Genomic DNA, 17,571 nt, shown 5'->3' with positions numbered 1-17,571 from the left:
AAGATTTGTGCATTTGTTTTTTTTTAATCTTATTTAGCAAGTCTTTCACAATATAGAGCACAGTGAATATCTTCCACAGTGCTATTACCAATAGAGTAAAACTTGTTACAATCAGGTTTTTAGTCCCTGTAGAGTTAGAAGTAAGAATTAAGTTTTATTTTTCTCCTTTTGACAAATCGGTTTTCTCCAAATGTTCGGTTATTTATTCTTTTCTTTTGATTTGGAGGCCACTTTGTTGTAAATTAGGTTCTTATAAAGTTATATTCCCAAATAACATCTTCCACTCTTCTGATTAAAACCTCCAAAGCTTTTATGTAGTTTAAATGACAAACTCCTTAACATGGAATTTCTTTCTTTCTTTATTCCCAAAATATCTACTGAGCTTCTACTATGTGTCAAAGCTATCTGTCAGAATTAAATACTGTCTCTGCCATCATGAATCTTGCTGTCAGGTATCACCGCCACTGAACAGGTAATTACAAGTGGATGCTGATTGGAAAGAGGAAGAATAAGTTACTATCAGAGTGTTCTGGGTGTCTGCTAAAGTCTAGGGGTTAGTGCATGTTCTCATTTATAAGTGAGAGCTAAACATTGAGCACACATAGACATAAACATGGGAAGAGCAGACAGTGTGAACTACCAGAAGGAGGAGGGAGGGAAGGGATCACAGGTTTAAAAAGTACTTATCAGGTACTATGCTCACCACCTGGATGATGGGATCCGTACCCCAAACTCCAGCATCACACAATATTCTCATTAACAAACCAGTACATGTACTCCCTGCATCCAAATTAAAAGTTGAAATTTAAATAATAACAGTAAGTAAATAAAAATAAAAATGTAGGAATAAGCCATTAATAAAAATAGAGTCTGGGGATTAGGACGAACTGCACTATGTGAATGACATTTTCCCCTAAGAAGGCAACATGGAAGCAGAATGCGGCCAAATGAGGGGCAGAAGACACATGAAGCAGGTTTCAAGTAAAGGAAATGCTATGTTGAAGGATGTAGAATGCATGGAGATTGTGGCTTCCCCTGGACACTGGGTCACTACTCTAGTACAGTTGAAGCAAAGAAAATGTCAGAGGTCAGATTTCGGATTGCAAAGAAGTGTCAGAGGTTGGATTCAGAAGGTCTTTGAACGCCTACAAAGACCTTTCCCATCTGCCCAATAGCTGAGCTTCGTTTCTTTTACTTTCCTTAACCTTCTTGCTATTTTCAAAACATACCATCTATTTTTAAATGTTCTTGTGTCTTTCAACCTGTTCTCTCTGCTTGTGTTACCCTCTTACTTCTCCCCGTCTCCAGTAAAATCCCACATGTCCATCTTTATTTAATTCAGCCTTTACTTCAGTCCTTAAAGTTGTCATACTTTTGTCAGTCTAAATGATGTCTTGGCTAGCAGAACACATACCTGTCACCTCCATTAATATGCACTTAGATCCATTTCTTATTCACATCTTACCAAAATGCTATGTTGTATGTAACTGTATTTTCTCATCTTTCTGAGATAAATGCATAAATCATGGAATGGCCATAAGGATTAAATGAGATTATTGACGTAAAGCATTTGGCATGGTGTCTGGTACATAATATACCTTCAATAAAATTCACTATTTTAATGATAATTATCATGTTTGTCACTACTACCATCATCATCATCCTGCATTTTCTAGAGCCTTCTCTGAAATCTTTCACTTCTTAGAAGACATATGTCTCAGAAACTATTTTTATCCATATGTACTTGTCTTTTATATTTGTTATGTTTTGTTTCCTTCATCTTCTCTGGGTTGGAGAAGAAGAACCTAGTGCTGAATCCAGGGTTTGTGACAAGGCTGGAAGAACATTTGGTCTGGCTAGTTAAAGTGTGGAAAGAGGTAAAACCATATTCAAGCCATTCTGAATCCTTTGCTTTCTCCAACTTTCTTATACACCTCAAAACTCCCCAAGAATAGAAAATTTGTAGCATTTGTCTGCCTTATTTACCTCTAAAAGATATCCGTTTAGATATCTGTGTATTCAAAAAGTAATATAGACCTGAAGGATGCCTTCTTCCCCAAGAGCTCTGGTCTTAGTACTTCAGGTGTGCTTCTGATCTATGGCGACCATGGCTCAGGAGGCATGAAGCTTTCCAGCCCAAGCAAAAGTTCACCGTAATTGAGGTCAAATACTTGAAATATGCTGCATGATAATCTAATATTTTCTCAGTACATGTCTGTCTAGCTATATTCTCCTTGCTTATGAAAATCCATATTCATTTTGTCATTTGATTTTTTCAGAGTAGCTGAAAGCATTCATTTTAAGTACTAAATTATAAGAATGTATGAAATTACAGAAATTAAATTATAAAAAACAAATTTTAATGTTGAATCTCTTTAAAAATAAGCTTAAATGTGATTAATTTGTAGCTCTTGATAAATTGGTATGGTAATAATGAATACATTAAGTATAGCAATGATAATTCTGAGATCATAGAACATAAATAATGTTAACAGATATTTTTATCCCATGCCATTAATGATCTCTGATAACCAGACATTAATTACTACTAGTTATAAATCACTGTTAAGTTCAACCCACTACCCACTATGTATTTATAGTTTAGTTTCTAAAGAAATCTACATAGACAACAGTCAACCATATATATGCATCCATCTTTTTTTAATTTTACTTTAAGTTCTGGGATACATGTGCAGGACATGCAGGTTTGTTACATAAGTATACATGTGCCATGGTGGTTTGCTGCATCCATCAACCTGTCATCTAGGTTTTGAGCCCCGCATGCATTAGGTATTTTAACACACTCTTCATTCTCCTCCATTTCTATTTCCTCTGCTCAGTGATAAATTGATTGCAGCTCAGTTCAGACACAGAATTGAGCGCCAAGGGACTCTGACTACAAAGTGATGTTAGAAGGTCAGCATGAATCGTAGCAGCTAATTTAGATCTCCATACATGAAAAAAGATGAAAGAGACAACCTGCCCATAATTTTCATGTTATAGCAAAGGGGAAAAATAACAAATATAGACAAGGATTTGATGTTATGCCAAGCATTTATTTTTCCAATTCATGAAAGTTCATATAAGCATAAGTTATCATTTTATGTTGCTATGGCAGTCTTTAGGAGAGCTGCACACAAAATGTGCTGCCAAGCCGTACACAAGAGAATTGAACTTGTATCTTCAGAGAGGGGGGAGGTAGGAAATGTGGCAGTTGGTTAAAATAAGGAGTTTATAAGATGAAATATAAAAACATAAGTTTGCAATATTAGAGACTTAAGCATTCAACAGAATTTATACACTCCTAATGTTGAAAGCAAGACACTAAAGATAGAATCCATTCCACTGACATTATTTACATATCACACTTGAAGGAATATATATGCTTTAGTAGTTAAAAGAATACTTTAGCTAAAGTCAAATATGAAAACCAGAGGGCATGGACTAGCGATAGGATGAGTGCTCAGAGAATATGAGTATTTGTCTTTTAGAATGGGAGCAGTCGCCCTGTAAAGTAAATGACTAAGAGAAGCAGTTAGCACAAAGGGTTTTTAAATGTTGTTAAATGATCATATAATTTGAAAGAGTCATAAAGGTTCCATCATTATAAGGACTATATACAGCACTTACATATTTTCAATGCACTTTATGATCATTAACTAGTAATTAGCCGAAAAACTTTCTCATTCCAGAGAAATAAATGAAAATACATTTTTTGCTTTCCTTACCATATAAAATCTCCTGTACAACTTCACCTAGCTTGTAGTGGATTTAATTCCTTGTTTTTCTCAGTATCTAGCAGAGGTCTAAACCTTTATTATTTGTGCCAGTGTATTTACAGAATGATTTAAAACATCCTTAAGAAGTTAGTATTCAAACATCATTAAATATTTAATACTGGAGGGATGCTAAAAGTTAGCTCCTGTTCCATGAGGATAGTGTTAAAGAACACAACAAAAACTTATTAAAACTGCAGAACTGGAGCAGCAGAAAAGTAAGAGAATCAGAAATTAAAATCATTGTCTCAAGGCAAGCTATGACTAATGAAAATGTACTACTGATCATTGCCTTGCATGCAAACTGCTTTTATTGACGACCACATAAAATCACCAGAGGAGGTATGGAGAGTTATAGGAAGGAAAGAAAGCAACAAAAACATTAAATCTCACAGTAACCATTTCAAGTATTATTATGTTAATTTACACGTGAAGAAACTGAAACCGAGAATGGTTAATTTAATAGTCCAAAGAATAGATTAAGTGAATGTCAGAACAAGGATTCCCAGTTTATCTGATTCAAAATGGCTTCATCTCCTTGTCCTTCTATTTTCACTGCATCATCTCTGCCACTTCATTACATGCAAAAACAGAGTCTAAATCTGAGTCCTATACTAAGAATTCTGTCCCCTAAAGAATAGATAATGTACCGAAGTTCCTGAGATGTGAGATTTGATACTAATGTTTTCCAAAGTGGGTGGAGTAATGGGGTAAACAAGGAAAATGAAAGTTATATGCTGTTAAAAATGCTGCTTTGTGGCAAAGCAGAGTGATTTTGCTAGTGTGCCTTGTATATCTACACAAACGGGTTTCAGGGACGTAAGGAAATAAACAAACTGGGATATTATGTGTTGCTTTGGAAATGACTAGGCAGCTGCCATGAGTAATTCATATGTATTAATTCTTGACGTTCCTCAAACATAACTTAACTATTATTGTTGTCTTTGTAGATTCACGCTCGTGCCAAGTATCAAGAGGGATACTCTGATGGACTGTTCAGAGCCCCAATTTCTGTAACTATCACTTCTCAGTGTATTGAAAGATGCTAAACATTAGAATCAACTGAACTGACTTTATCATTTTATTACACTATATCAAATCGGGTTCTTTGAGATTCTTATTCTCCAAACAATGAAAGGAATAAATATAAACTGTGCCTGACAAATGAAGAAAAGATGGAGATCAATAGCTTGTTAAAATAATTTTGATGTATGCTATTATTATAAAATACAACTTTTGTAGAATAATGTAGGTATGTCACTGTCACTAAAGAGTATTTTATGTATTCTCATCATTTAAGGCAAATATAACAATATGTATTAATTTAAATTCAATAAATTTTACTATTAAAGTTATATCTAGATAGAAATTTATGATATTCAAAACTGGCTAATAAACAGGTTAAGAAAATGATCTAATTTAAGAAAAAATTATAGTTACTAGCTTGTTCTTTTGAATGGCTAGTTCAAATTATTAACAACTTCAGGAAAAAATTTAAATTAATGATACAAAGCATAATATTTTGCAATGTCCTTAGGTATTTGTCCTAAATTTGATATCATACGGTTTCATGTTTATGAAGAACTGTTTCAACTATGTCCTAAGTTGGTTTGCTACAGTTTTGCATATGACATCAGTTGAACAGACTCGTAAGACTAGCATTTGAATAAAATGTTAATAAATGATAGACATTTCCCTGAGTACTTCATTTTATAGCAGTCTCAGAGTTTTTAGGTAAAAAGGTAAGATTATTGAAACAGTGAATTCACACTTTGGTGTGCTCAGAATCACCCGGAGGGCTTATTAAAGTTTGCTGGGCCCTACTTACAGAGTTTCTGCTATAGTAAATCTGAAAGAAATATTTGGGGTAAAGGAGACTGGAGCAAGATTTGCATCTCTAACAAGTTCTCAGGTAGTGTTGATACTTCTGCTCAGTGATCATCCTTTGAGAGACACTACTATAAAGAAGGGTATTGAAGGTCTTTAGCCACCTCAGTATGAGCATTCAGAGTATTCTATATAATACTTCACGACAAAATTGATTAGATTGATCACAATAAGGCAATTTTAAACTCATTCCAGAAAAAAGGTTTGATTTTAATAAATCATTCACAATGTAGTTATTTTATAGCCTTCATAATTAGGTGAAAATATTTCATAAGATTAATTTATTATCTAAATACTTCTTTGGGTTACTGGTCAGATTTAAGTTCACCATGCATATATGTCACTTTAGGTCATGTGAGGACTATCCAATCTAAGCTAGACCTACTTTGTTTAAATTAAACAATGAGACTAAAACATCAGAATGCATGAAACTGAAAACCCAAGGTGACATCCTCCTAAACATTTAGCCATTATGGGAAAAAATAACAAAACAAGATAAAAACATGAAACAAAAAAGAGTTATTCATGTGTTTCAGCCCTTTCTGATATTTGTTAACCTTATAACCTAGTACATTTTGATCATCTGTAACCTATTGTATGAGTTACCCACATCATTAAACTCCTTTTGGGAAATAAAAATGATAGAATATATAAAACGTATTAGATGCAGCCAATAAATAAGCCATTGCATTATATATATTTGACCATGCCTACCCTGAAGGAACCTAATAAAATAACACTTTCTTAGCGTATCTTTGTTAAAACATAGCTGGTAGTAGATTTGAACAAAATCTACATGGTTAATTATGGGAAAATATTAATTTGCAAAGTTTTTTTTTTAACATGAACTAGAGTTTTGTTTACAAACTCTAGGGTTACAACTTAATGAACAAAACTGATTAAACTATGATTCAAGAAAAAGATTAATTGAAGAAAGAAAATTACCTTTGACTAAATAAAGATAAATTATGGGTTAATTAACCGAGGGCCAGACCCAAAACAGAGAAATAATGTTTAAGGTCCAGGATATACTTAATATATAGGTAATGAGTATCATGAGAAATAAATTTTAAAACCCTAAACTATAATTAGGAAACATTTAATAGGTTTCATTTTATCTCTATTTTACTCTCTTCCTTTATTTTGATGATAGTTTCAATGGTTTGAAGTTGTAGTTATGAATTAATTTCACAAGAACCAGCCAGTACCCTTTATATATGTTCTGGCAGTATAAAACAATGATTTACAGTGACTTATGGTGATAAAGAAAACACTTTAAAGCCCATCTGGCAACCTCAATGCAGATGGATTCACTGGACAAATATTGTCTCCCTAAGTTGGGGTGGGCCATAAGCAGATTAGCCATGGGTAATTATTAATTCCCAATTGTTTGCTTGGGCCATATGGGAATACATTCAACTATGAAAAGCATCAAACTGTTCCACTTCATATAATAAGAAGAGCAGATAATCAATGACTTGAAACAAATGCTAATGATAGTTCTGTGTACAGATCTGAAGCTGGCACTTGAAGAATGTATGCAAATACAGTAAAAAATATGTACATTATAACAAGCCCAGCAATATTAGAGGGTAAATTTTATGTCTCTAGTAACAGACTATCAAACTAATTCTTCAGAATAAATGTAGAAACCTCCAAGAAATTTATTTATTTACCTCAAGTATGGGAAAATGAATCAGCATGGTACAAATACAATACCACATTTAGAAGGGTATGGCCCTTGGAACACTTTGAATGACAAGACTAAAATATGTAAGGAAGAAAGATAAAGTACTGAAATGCTTAGGTATAAATGACTGTTATGTAGGTAAAATCCACATGGATTCATTGGAAGAGGGCTAAACATTTAATTGTATATATGGGAATTTCTACTTCTGGTCAAAATGGAATAACAGAGACTAGATTTATTCTCTGCAGTTGCAAAGCCAGAAAAAAAATAAAATCACTCTTACAACATTAGACACAAGACAGTGAAAGACACTGATTTCTGAGGGACAGAAACAAATTACATGAGCCCTACAAATGCCCTCAGATATATTACCAAAAAAAAATTATGTGGACCGAAAAAAGGCACATGAAAATGACTCAAGATCATTAGTTATTAGATAAGCAGAAGTTAACATCACAACTAGATAGCTCTACATATCTACTTAAATGCCTAAAACTAAAAAGACTGTGCTTGTAGAGTGTTGGTGGGGATATGGAGCACTTGAAATGCTTACGTACTAGTGTGGTAGATAAACATATACCCACGATAGGGCACAGCCATTCCAAACTTAGAGGAGATGAATGCATATTTTCATTAAAAGATTTCTACACAAATGTTTAGAGTGGCTTTGTCTGAAATAGCTAAAAACTGCAAACAATTGAAATGTCCACCCACAGAGATACAGAATATCTATACAATGGACTCTGAGACAGTGCCCTCAGAGTAAAGAGGCCAAATAAATAAATAAATAAATAGAAATAGAGAAAAAAGAAAAGAAAACAAAAAACAAAGAGTTAATGCTCACTAATAAGAGGAAGAAGCTATGGACACACAGCAATGAAATGTGGATGGGTATTAAGTATGCTGAACAAAAGAAGCTGGATAAAACATGCATTCCTTTCATATAAAATTTTAGAAAAATAAACTATTCTATAGTGAACCAGATCATTGGTTGCCTGTGGGTGGTGGAGACACAAAAGGGCAAGAGAATGAGATTATAAAGGGGCACAGAGAAAGTTTGGGTGGTGATGAATAGGTTCATTTTCTTGATTATGGTGAGGAGTTATCACCATATGTGAAAATATATGATACACTTTAATCATGTACTATATATTATAGTTCAATTATATCTTAATAAAACTGTAATAAAAATAAGCAAATAATTCCATACGTAAGAGTTTGTAGACGTGACCTCTATATTGGAAAATGTCAACCAGAGCATGGTGAAGAGGAGAAGTTGTAGGAATTCAAAGTGTTGCAACCACAGCTCAAAATGTGAGATCCTGGTAATATCTTTGGTATTGTAGAGCACTATATATATATATAAAATATATCATTATATATAATATATTATTATATATAATATATTATTATATATTATATATTTTATATATAATATATTATTATATATAATATATTATTATATATTATATATTTTATATATATTAAGTATTATATATAATATACATTATATTATATATATATATATTATATTATATAATATATATATATATTATATATAATAATTATATATATTATATATAATATATTATATATTATATATTATATATAATATATTATATATTATATATATTATATATAATATATTATATATTATATATTATATATATTATATATTATATATTATATATTATATATATTATATATAATATATATTATATATTATATATTTTATATATAATTATTATATATAATATATTATATATATTATATATTATATATAATATATATAATATATATATTATATATAATATATTATTATATATTATATATATTTTATATATAATAATTATATATTATATATATTTTATATATTATATATATAATCAAAGAACTACTCTTTTGAATTCATAAAAAATTCCTTTATGATGAGAATGTAAAAATAAGTTTTCAAAAATAAATCATATTATATAATTTGAAGAATTTTATGGGACAAAGAATTAGCAATAACAGGAAAGTTAATAAGAGAATATTAGGTCAAAGTTGTACTTTAATTTTATGGTATGATGAATCATATAATCCAAGCAGCATTAAGAAGAGAGATGTCTAAGAAATTGCAATGTCCAACTGTAACACTCACAAATATCTAGTCGCTTTGGTTGCTTCAACATATTGAATTTAATGTGTAACTGCTGAAATTGTGCCATTTGTTAAATGGTGTTAGTCACAATGAGTTGGGTTTCTCTGATCAGCTTGGGTGCCCTAGAGCCCTAGACTTTGAAAGGTTTGTAAAAAAAATTTTTATTCCTTTTAGGAACAATTTATGATATATTGGACAGTGAGGGAAAATAGCAAAAAACTCTAAAATCGGATGGTTTGATTATGGACTAAAATTACTGTAAATGTGCTGCAAGGATCGTAACTCATAAGGCTAATTAATATCATTATTAGCATTATTAATTGAAAGGCATTGATGCTCTTTACGAGTTTATAACAGCTGGGCTAGAACATTTAGGGGATAACAATTATCTTGAACCCACGAAGCTTAATTAAATTGGGATAAATAAAATGTGTAAGTCAATCTACTTAGGATCAAATGCAGTGGCACAATTATATGTTATTATAAGACAGAGCCCACGGAGTTGAAAAATAATCAACTTCCATGAAAAATACATTAAATGAACAGCAACTTTAAAGAAGAAGCTGAGAAGAAAGTAACCCATTATACTTGGTCATCTTAGGCTCAGGTAAGAGAATATGTCATTATTTTAGTAGTATCATACAATGGACTCAGAGCCCTCTTTATTTTACTTTATATGAAAGTCAAACAAGGTTACATAGTTCGTTAAAGAGTATAGCAAACACAATTAAAAGAAACTTAAAGCAGTATAACATGCAACTTTTCTAAATGATATGTAGAATTAAGTAGGAAATATTTCAAAAATTACCAAAAATAAGGGCTAAAGTGTACATTGTTTTCAAAATGTTACATCATCCTTCTAAGACACTATGATGTTTGTGACTTTAAAATAATTATGTTACAGGATAGAGAAGTAAGACTCTCAATGTCCAAAACTGCAACAATAAAAAGTTAATATCTTCATTACAGAAGAGAGAGTCCAGCCCTTTGAGATGAGCAGGGACCAAGTAGAATCTATGGGCAGTGACCACAGACCAGCCTCTCTCTGCTTGCATTTCCTAACACACAGATCTCTGAAGCAAAAACACTTCCAGTTTTGTTCATTGTTCATCACTTAATATTATTCTGGATATAAAAACTGTTTTAATTGCACTGCAAATAATGTCAAGATAACTCCAAGTTTTCTCTGCAATTTAAGAAACATACCTTGAAATTGTAAATATTTTCTGCATATTTTATGAAATAATGAATTAAATAACCAAAAAGTGGCAAAGAAAGAGGGCCCATTCTAATCGCTGCCCAACTAATTTTTTCAACATATATTTTTGAGTCAGTGGACTTTACAGTAGAAAAGTAGAATATTTTCTAATGCCAGATCTCCTTGTATAGCACTCTGAGCTATACATTTTCAGTAATTCCTTTAACTTTGAATGCATATCTATAGGCTTATTGTTAACTTCTAACATCTCTTTCTCAAAAAACAGATCAATAATTGGACTCATCTTCTTTTTAATATGACAATGCTCTTAATTTCTGGTGATGGTATTCATCCTAAACACTCTTTCTTTCCAGTTTATGTGACAGTCCACAAAGGCTATAGTAAACACAGAATCAATATTTCTTCTCTTTGTATACACTACAGTTAAGTCAAGTGTGAATTCATGTTCTGGATATGAGCAGTTTCATCCAAGTGTTAAAAATATATATCCTGGTTTACAAATGTGATTGCTTTTGTTCTTCCTTGTTGTATAGCATCAATATGAGGTGTCATTTAATAGTGCCTGTTGACAAATAATCTTGCCAATGGCCCATTTCTGCTGGTTTACATGTTTCTCAGCAATAGTGTTTCTTGTTTCCATTCTGGCTAAGAGACATGTCACTTTGAATAGTGCCTTTGTAATTTAGTCTACTTTTCTACCTTTTAATGTTGAATAATTAATTATATGTAAGAAGTGTTTGTTATTATGCTTGTGGAGAAAAAAGATATTGATTCATCCAAGAGATTAATGCATTCTATAAATCATGTTAAAGCATTGATGGCTCATGTGACTTTTGATAAAGTTTCATATTGTGTACCTCTGTGGAAGCTAGGGCTCTATGAATTGCAAAGCTAATATAATGCAATTTTTACTATTCATGGAGCTTCCTTATTCTTTTTTCAAAGCTTATTTTTTAAAAAAAACAACTTTTCATGAATTAATACAGCTACAGAATCACCTGTTCAAGAACATATACGTTCACATTCTGTACTGGCACTAGGCCCTAATTATTTGCATTAATAATGTTATTTTTAGTTGTAATCATTATGTTAATAACATTACTACCTTTATACTTCAATAACCCGTTTTTTGGCTAATAGTTCCGTCAGCATTTTGGAGATTTAACAGAACACAATAGTAATGATTAAGATGCAAATTTAATAAAGATAATGACAAAAAAGGGATGTAAAATTACATTTACAAACTGCCCTCTGCTAATTTAGTATCAGCCAAGACAAACTCAACAAGGTAGGCTATATAGCACAAAGTAATACTGTTTTAAATGTAATGAAATTTGCATAAAAAAGTTATAATAAACCCTTTATTTCAATTTTTAAAATGAACATGCATTTTTGTTTCAAACTGTGTTTCCCCCTAAGTCACAAAACTGCCCAAAGACCAACAGGTTTTTGGAAAACTTGCCCCAGTGACTTGCTGACTCAGTATTAAAACTTATTATCTAAAAGATAAAACTTCTAGTTGTTTTAAAAATTATTTTAAAGAAAAGATGATCATATTCCACCGACATTTCCAAGCTATAGTAAACCTATATTCCAAAAAGATTTTTCACTTTTCACATTAATACAATTTTTCACACTTATTCTCCTTTTCAATAAAGAATTTTGCTCAATTGTCATGGCAAATAGTCTTTTGCCTCATTTAACTGAAGATTGTGACACCGAAATAAGAATAAAATAGAAACGAAATAATGAAATGTAGACCTAGAAGGAAAAAAACTGTGGCAAAATCAATATAAGTAGAGAGTTTATTTGGGCCAAGCTTGAGGATTGCAGGCGGATAGCATAGACTTAAGTCTCTCTGAATACACACTCCAATTAGCAACAGTTACAAGTAGGTTTTTAAAGAAAAAGAAGAGGCAGTTCTAAAGTTGTTCACCAAGAATTTACATTAAAATAACCTAAACTGGCCAGGCATGGTGGCTTATGCCCGTAAACCCAGCACTTTGGGAGGCTGAGGTGGGAGGATCATTTGAGATCAGTTCAAGACCAGCCTGGGCAACATGGTGAAACCCCATCTCCACAAAAAAATACAAAAATTAGCTGGGCATGGTGGCATGCACCTGTAGTCTCAGCTGCTTGGGAGGCTGAGGCATGAGAATCAAGAATCGCTTGAACCCGAGAGGCAGAGTTTGCAGTGAGCCGTGATTGTGTCAATGCACTCCAGCCTGGGCAACAGAGCAAGACTCTGTCACAAAAAGAAAACAAAACCGTAAACTATTAATTATGTATACATTGTTCTTTATTATCACAAATTCCAGGAATGTGAAGATAACGGATAAAGCAGCCAGTCAGGAAAAAAGTGGCTTTAAACAATTGCCCCCAGTCATCCGTGCCATGGCAGCCTCCAACTGAAGTTCCATACTCTTACCACTCTAGGCCTGATAAATTTTGCATGCCTCACATAACTCAAACTGCTCTGGGCTATCTTCTTTTTCTCAGAAACCTGCTGGAAATTTAAACACCTAGGAACACCTATGAAACCTACAACTGAAGGTGCAGTTGTATAAGATGATTAGTTTATCCCCCTCTATTTTTCCTGGGGCACACTTTGCTTATTGTTTGTTTTTGTTTTTGTTTTAAAGGCCAGTGTCCCTTAGAGTTTTGACTTTTTTTGATACAAAAAGCTAGTAACATAACCCATCAGATTATGTTTTGGAGACACTGGATTACAATAATATCTAATGGAAATAGAACTGTATAAACTTCAAAGAAGCTCAAGGGAAAAAATCTGAAAACTAATGAATTAAAACAAAAAAGTTGATAGATGAGGCAAACGTAGCCTATAGAAGTAAGTCTCATTTCTGTGCCAGTGAGAAAGGAAGATTTCTGCTTTTTTTTTTTTTTTTTTTTTTTTTTGGTCACACAGGCTTATGATCTGCGGTGCTATAGAGGAAAGCGTATTTGTAAAAACCAATCTGGAGTGAGTTAATCTGACACCAGCTTTAATAAATTCCTGGCTTAGAGCCAAGGGAGCTAAGTACAATGATAAATTAAAGTTAATGACAATGGTTTTTCCATTATACTAGGACAAATCACCACTTTGCAACTGATTGGGGGAAATAACAACAAACTTTGTTTCACAATCAAATAAATACTAATGGGAGAGAGGGAAAGAAGAATGTAGTTTAAAGTTTAGTGTTTTGTTGATGAAAAAATCCAAACTGTAAAATATTTAACTAGATTCTGAGCCAGATGTGAGGGCCATGACCCATGACACAGCTTCAGGAGGTCCTGAGAACATGCCCCCAAGGTGGTTGGATTACAGCTTGATTTTATACAATTTAGGGAGACAGAAGGCCAGGTGCGGTGGCTCATGCCTGTAATCCCAGCACTTTGGGAGGCCAAGGAGGAGGGCGGATCACCTGAGGTCAGGAGTTCAAGACCAGCCTGGCCAACATGGTGAAATCTCATCTCTACTAAAAATACAAAAATTAACTGGGCGTGGGGGTGCACACCTGTAATCCCAGCTACTTGTGAGGCTGAGGCAGAAGAATCTCTTGAACCCGGTAGGCAGAGGTTGCAGTGAGCCAAGTTTGTGTCACTGCACTCCAGCCTGGAGCACAGAGCGAGACTCTGTCTCAAAACAAAACAAAACAAAACAAAAAAACATAAATCCATACTGGATTTTATTAAGAAACTCTTTTTTTTTTTCCTTAGCATACTTAGGTAAATCACTTTAAATGAAAGCGGCAACAAAAAGAAGCTCCTCTAATTGACAGCTGACCATAGCAATAAAATGCCATCTAGCTATTTTAGAAGTTACAACCAATTTAAAAATAATTTCAATCTGATTTGCCAGACTTCCAGAGTCAAATCACAACTCAAATCTTAAAGCAATATTTTCTTTCTGCCCATAGTCTACAAGTTGTCCATTTTGGCAATATTCTTTCAAATGATGCAATTAGCGATCCCCAAACATGAAACATACTCAAAATTTCAACCTATATTTTATAATTTTCTAAAACTTGTTTGAAGTTAAACTACTCTTTTAAAAATATATAACAAATTAGTGGCTCCATATCACTGCTTCAAAAGTCCACCATTAGGTCCATTGTTTGTTTGATATGGCAAATGTTAATATTACTGAGAGGTTGTTTTCGCCAATAACACATATCAGTTTTTGAACTACTAAAATTTTTCCAGTGCTAGGAGATTTTTTTAACCTAGTACAATTATGTATAAACCATGATCATAAAAATAAGAATCATAAAAATACCAAAGCTGGGAACACTCGTTCTATTTCATAGAATGAGGTAATGGCAGTTTCAAAAATCAAGAAAGAAAAAAAGAAAATCCTATCAAGGCCCAAATTATAGCATAGAATCTAAAAAATAAGGACTCTTCTGTTACTCTGTGCCATTTTTATCTTTCTTGCGTCAAGATACAGTATTCTTCAAGCAAGTACAAAGATTTTGAATGCTGGTCCACATGCTAGTTTAGAAAATCCTTTCCATTTGCAATCCATTATTTTTGAAAGCTAAGAGCACATACCCCGAGGCATGGCTTGCACAAACATAAGGAGGAGAAAGAAAGAGTAATTCAGAATAAGTAAATAATCACTTTTTTGATGGCTGCTAATGTGCCAATCATGTATTATAAACATTTTAAACATATTAACACATTGATTCTAATAATAGTACAGGATTATTAAATAGAAGTATTTGTTCCTTGAAAGCACACGACAGCAAAGAAGTCTCAGAAACAGCAGATTTTGATAAACTTCTTATCTCTGCTTGACTAGTTTTCTTTGTTGCTAAATTGATGCTGATTTTTAATCCTTTTTTTTCTTAGATGTAACCTTTATTACTCCTTTAAGTGGCCTTGATTTTTATCCTTTAGCTATTCATTTTTTTTCCTTATGAAATTATGTTTTAAGGCCTTATTTGATTATAGCTAGAGACCCAAAAGGCCTTAAAGTTCTCCTCAGTTTGCCTGCAGTTTAGACAGGCTTCTTCCTGAGAGTAGTCTAGACCTCTGATTTACCTTTTCTTATAACATTTACTGTGGAAAACTTGTCATTGTTAATCCTTTCTCTGCCTCTTTGAGATGTAAATCATTTTAAAACCTCTTTATAGTTTTACAACCCAGGGATGTCTTTCTCAAGGACCTGGGAGCCATTCCTTTGAAATGTAATCATCAAGGAGGATAGTGCCCTACCTCCCAGCCTCTGTGGGAAGGTAGGGTCTTAATTTCACTGGGCACTTTGCCCCAAGTTGTAAAAACTACTTCCTGTCATGAAGATAGGAGGAGAAAGTTTACTTTTCCTTCAGGTAAAGCCAATTAGCAAACATAGAAGGCCTAAGATCTTCGCACTCCAGCTCATAAAAATTCTGAAGCTTTCCACCCCGTTGTTTCAAGGGAGTTGAATGCAAACTGAGTTCTGGCCTCTCTCTTCCATTGCAAATAGCCTTGAACAAATTTTTGCTTGCCTGTTTAACTGTCTGGTGTAATTTTTTGCTTTGACAACAGCATTTCATAATAAGTTTACACGTGGTCACTATTTTTAATTTTAAAATCACTACTGCATGTAAAATCTAAAATGCATCTTCTCCGTAACTTGTAATCGGGTAAGAAAGTCCTTTAAAGTACTGACTTTTAAATGTTATTTTACTTGCCCAAGAACACAAATAAAACCATGGCTACTGTTTATGGATCTCTTCCTGCTTCCATAGGTAAGTCTATTGCATACATTAAATTAATTCCCATAATTACCCCATAATGTAGGGAATTGAGCTGCTTCAGCAGGAAAATTGAGGCCTTTAAATGAGGCCAAATCTCAGCCATGTTGCAGCAGCAGAGAGATTCTGAGAAGTGTTTTGAGAAAATGATATGCAGACTTTTGCTTTTTATATATCAGTAATCTCAAAGGAGATAGATCAGAATAGTGTTGTCAGTGCTCTTCCATGGAAGGACAATTATAAAACAACAACTGTTATAAAATTGACTTTATAAAGGAAAAATTACTTTGAAGCCTAAAATTAGAAAGGATGTTATTTGAGAGTTAGGATAGCTTTTTAAATTAATTAAATTTAAATTTCTGTAGGAAATCATCTGTCTCATGGTTCTTATTGTCTAATTTGGAAATCATTAGTTTAGAATGCATAATAATATTAAATCTTGGAATGAGAACTAAAGTATTAGAGAGAAAGAAAGTGATGGAATATGGATCATTGTAGGCATCAGTATGAGCATTCAAGACAGGTGGCTTGGTTTACTTACCTATGGAACAATGAACAATAATTACACAGATCTGAATTGGGTAGGTTTGAAGTTGTTTCAGTACTTGGAAAGACCTGAGATCACCTGTCTAGATCAATATGAATTAATATGAATTTTGCACTAATTGAAAAAGGTGATGTCCTCTCAGAAGTCCTAAGCACAGTGGAGCTTGATAAGCCTCTAAGTGAAGTAAAAGGTGGCCCATCCTCCAAGCTGAGGCAGCCCTGGGACAGGGCACATGGCTTGGCTAGGAAAGAACAGGCTGGATCTCAATCTGTACTCCTTGTTTTTGCTGGATGCTGTTACAAATTTCACAAACTGTGTGTTTTTCTGCAGAGGCTCTGAGGTCACAGATAGTGTTTACGTTTTGTTCTCTCTAGCTGATTAACACTTGTGCTCAGCATTCTAGATAGCATAATAGTGTAAATCTGCCCTACATAATTTGTCCATCATGAAGAAATTAGTTTTTAGGAATAAAAAAGGCAAAAGATCCAAAAATTTAGGAGAATAAGGCCTGCTTTTTTCTTTTCTTTTTTTTCTTTTCCTTCAGGTCTTTGGCCTACCAGCTTGCTCTATATAT

General features: G+C 33.0%; 2 annotated features.

The window, feature by feature from the left end:
• Positions 15,145-15,706: an enhancer, noted in NCBI's record as "OCT4-NANOG hESC enhancer chr18:63574261-63574822 (GRCh37/hg19 assembly coordinates)". NCBI's record gives its function as "activates a minimal SCP1, AML or CMV promoter by ChIP-STARR-seq in naive and primed H9 embryonic stem cells {active_cell/tissue: H9 hESC(naive and primed)}" and the evidence as "EXISTENCE:reporter gene assay evidence [ECO:0000049][PMID:30033119]".
• Positions 15,707-16,270: an enhancer, noted in NCBI's record as "OCT4-NANOG hESC enhancer chr18:63573697-63574260 (GRCh37/hg19 assembly coordinates)". NCBI's record gives its function as "activates a minimal SCP1, AML or CMV promoter by ChIP-STARR-seq in naive and primed H9 embryonic stem cells {active_cell/tissue: H9 hESC(naive and primed)}" and the evidence as "EXISTENCE:reporter gene assay evidence [ECO:0000049][PMID:30033119]".

This window comes from Homo sapiens, chromosome 18, assembly GCF_000001405.40.
Source record: "Homo sapiens chromosome 18, GRCh38.p14 Primary Assembly".
Taxonomy (NCBI): domain Eukaryota; kingdom Metazoa; phylum Chordata; class Mammalia; order Primates; family Hominidae; genus Homo; species Homo sapiens.
Note: the sequence above shows the minus strand (reverse complement) of the source record. Positions and strands in the feature narration are given on the sequence as shown.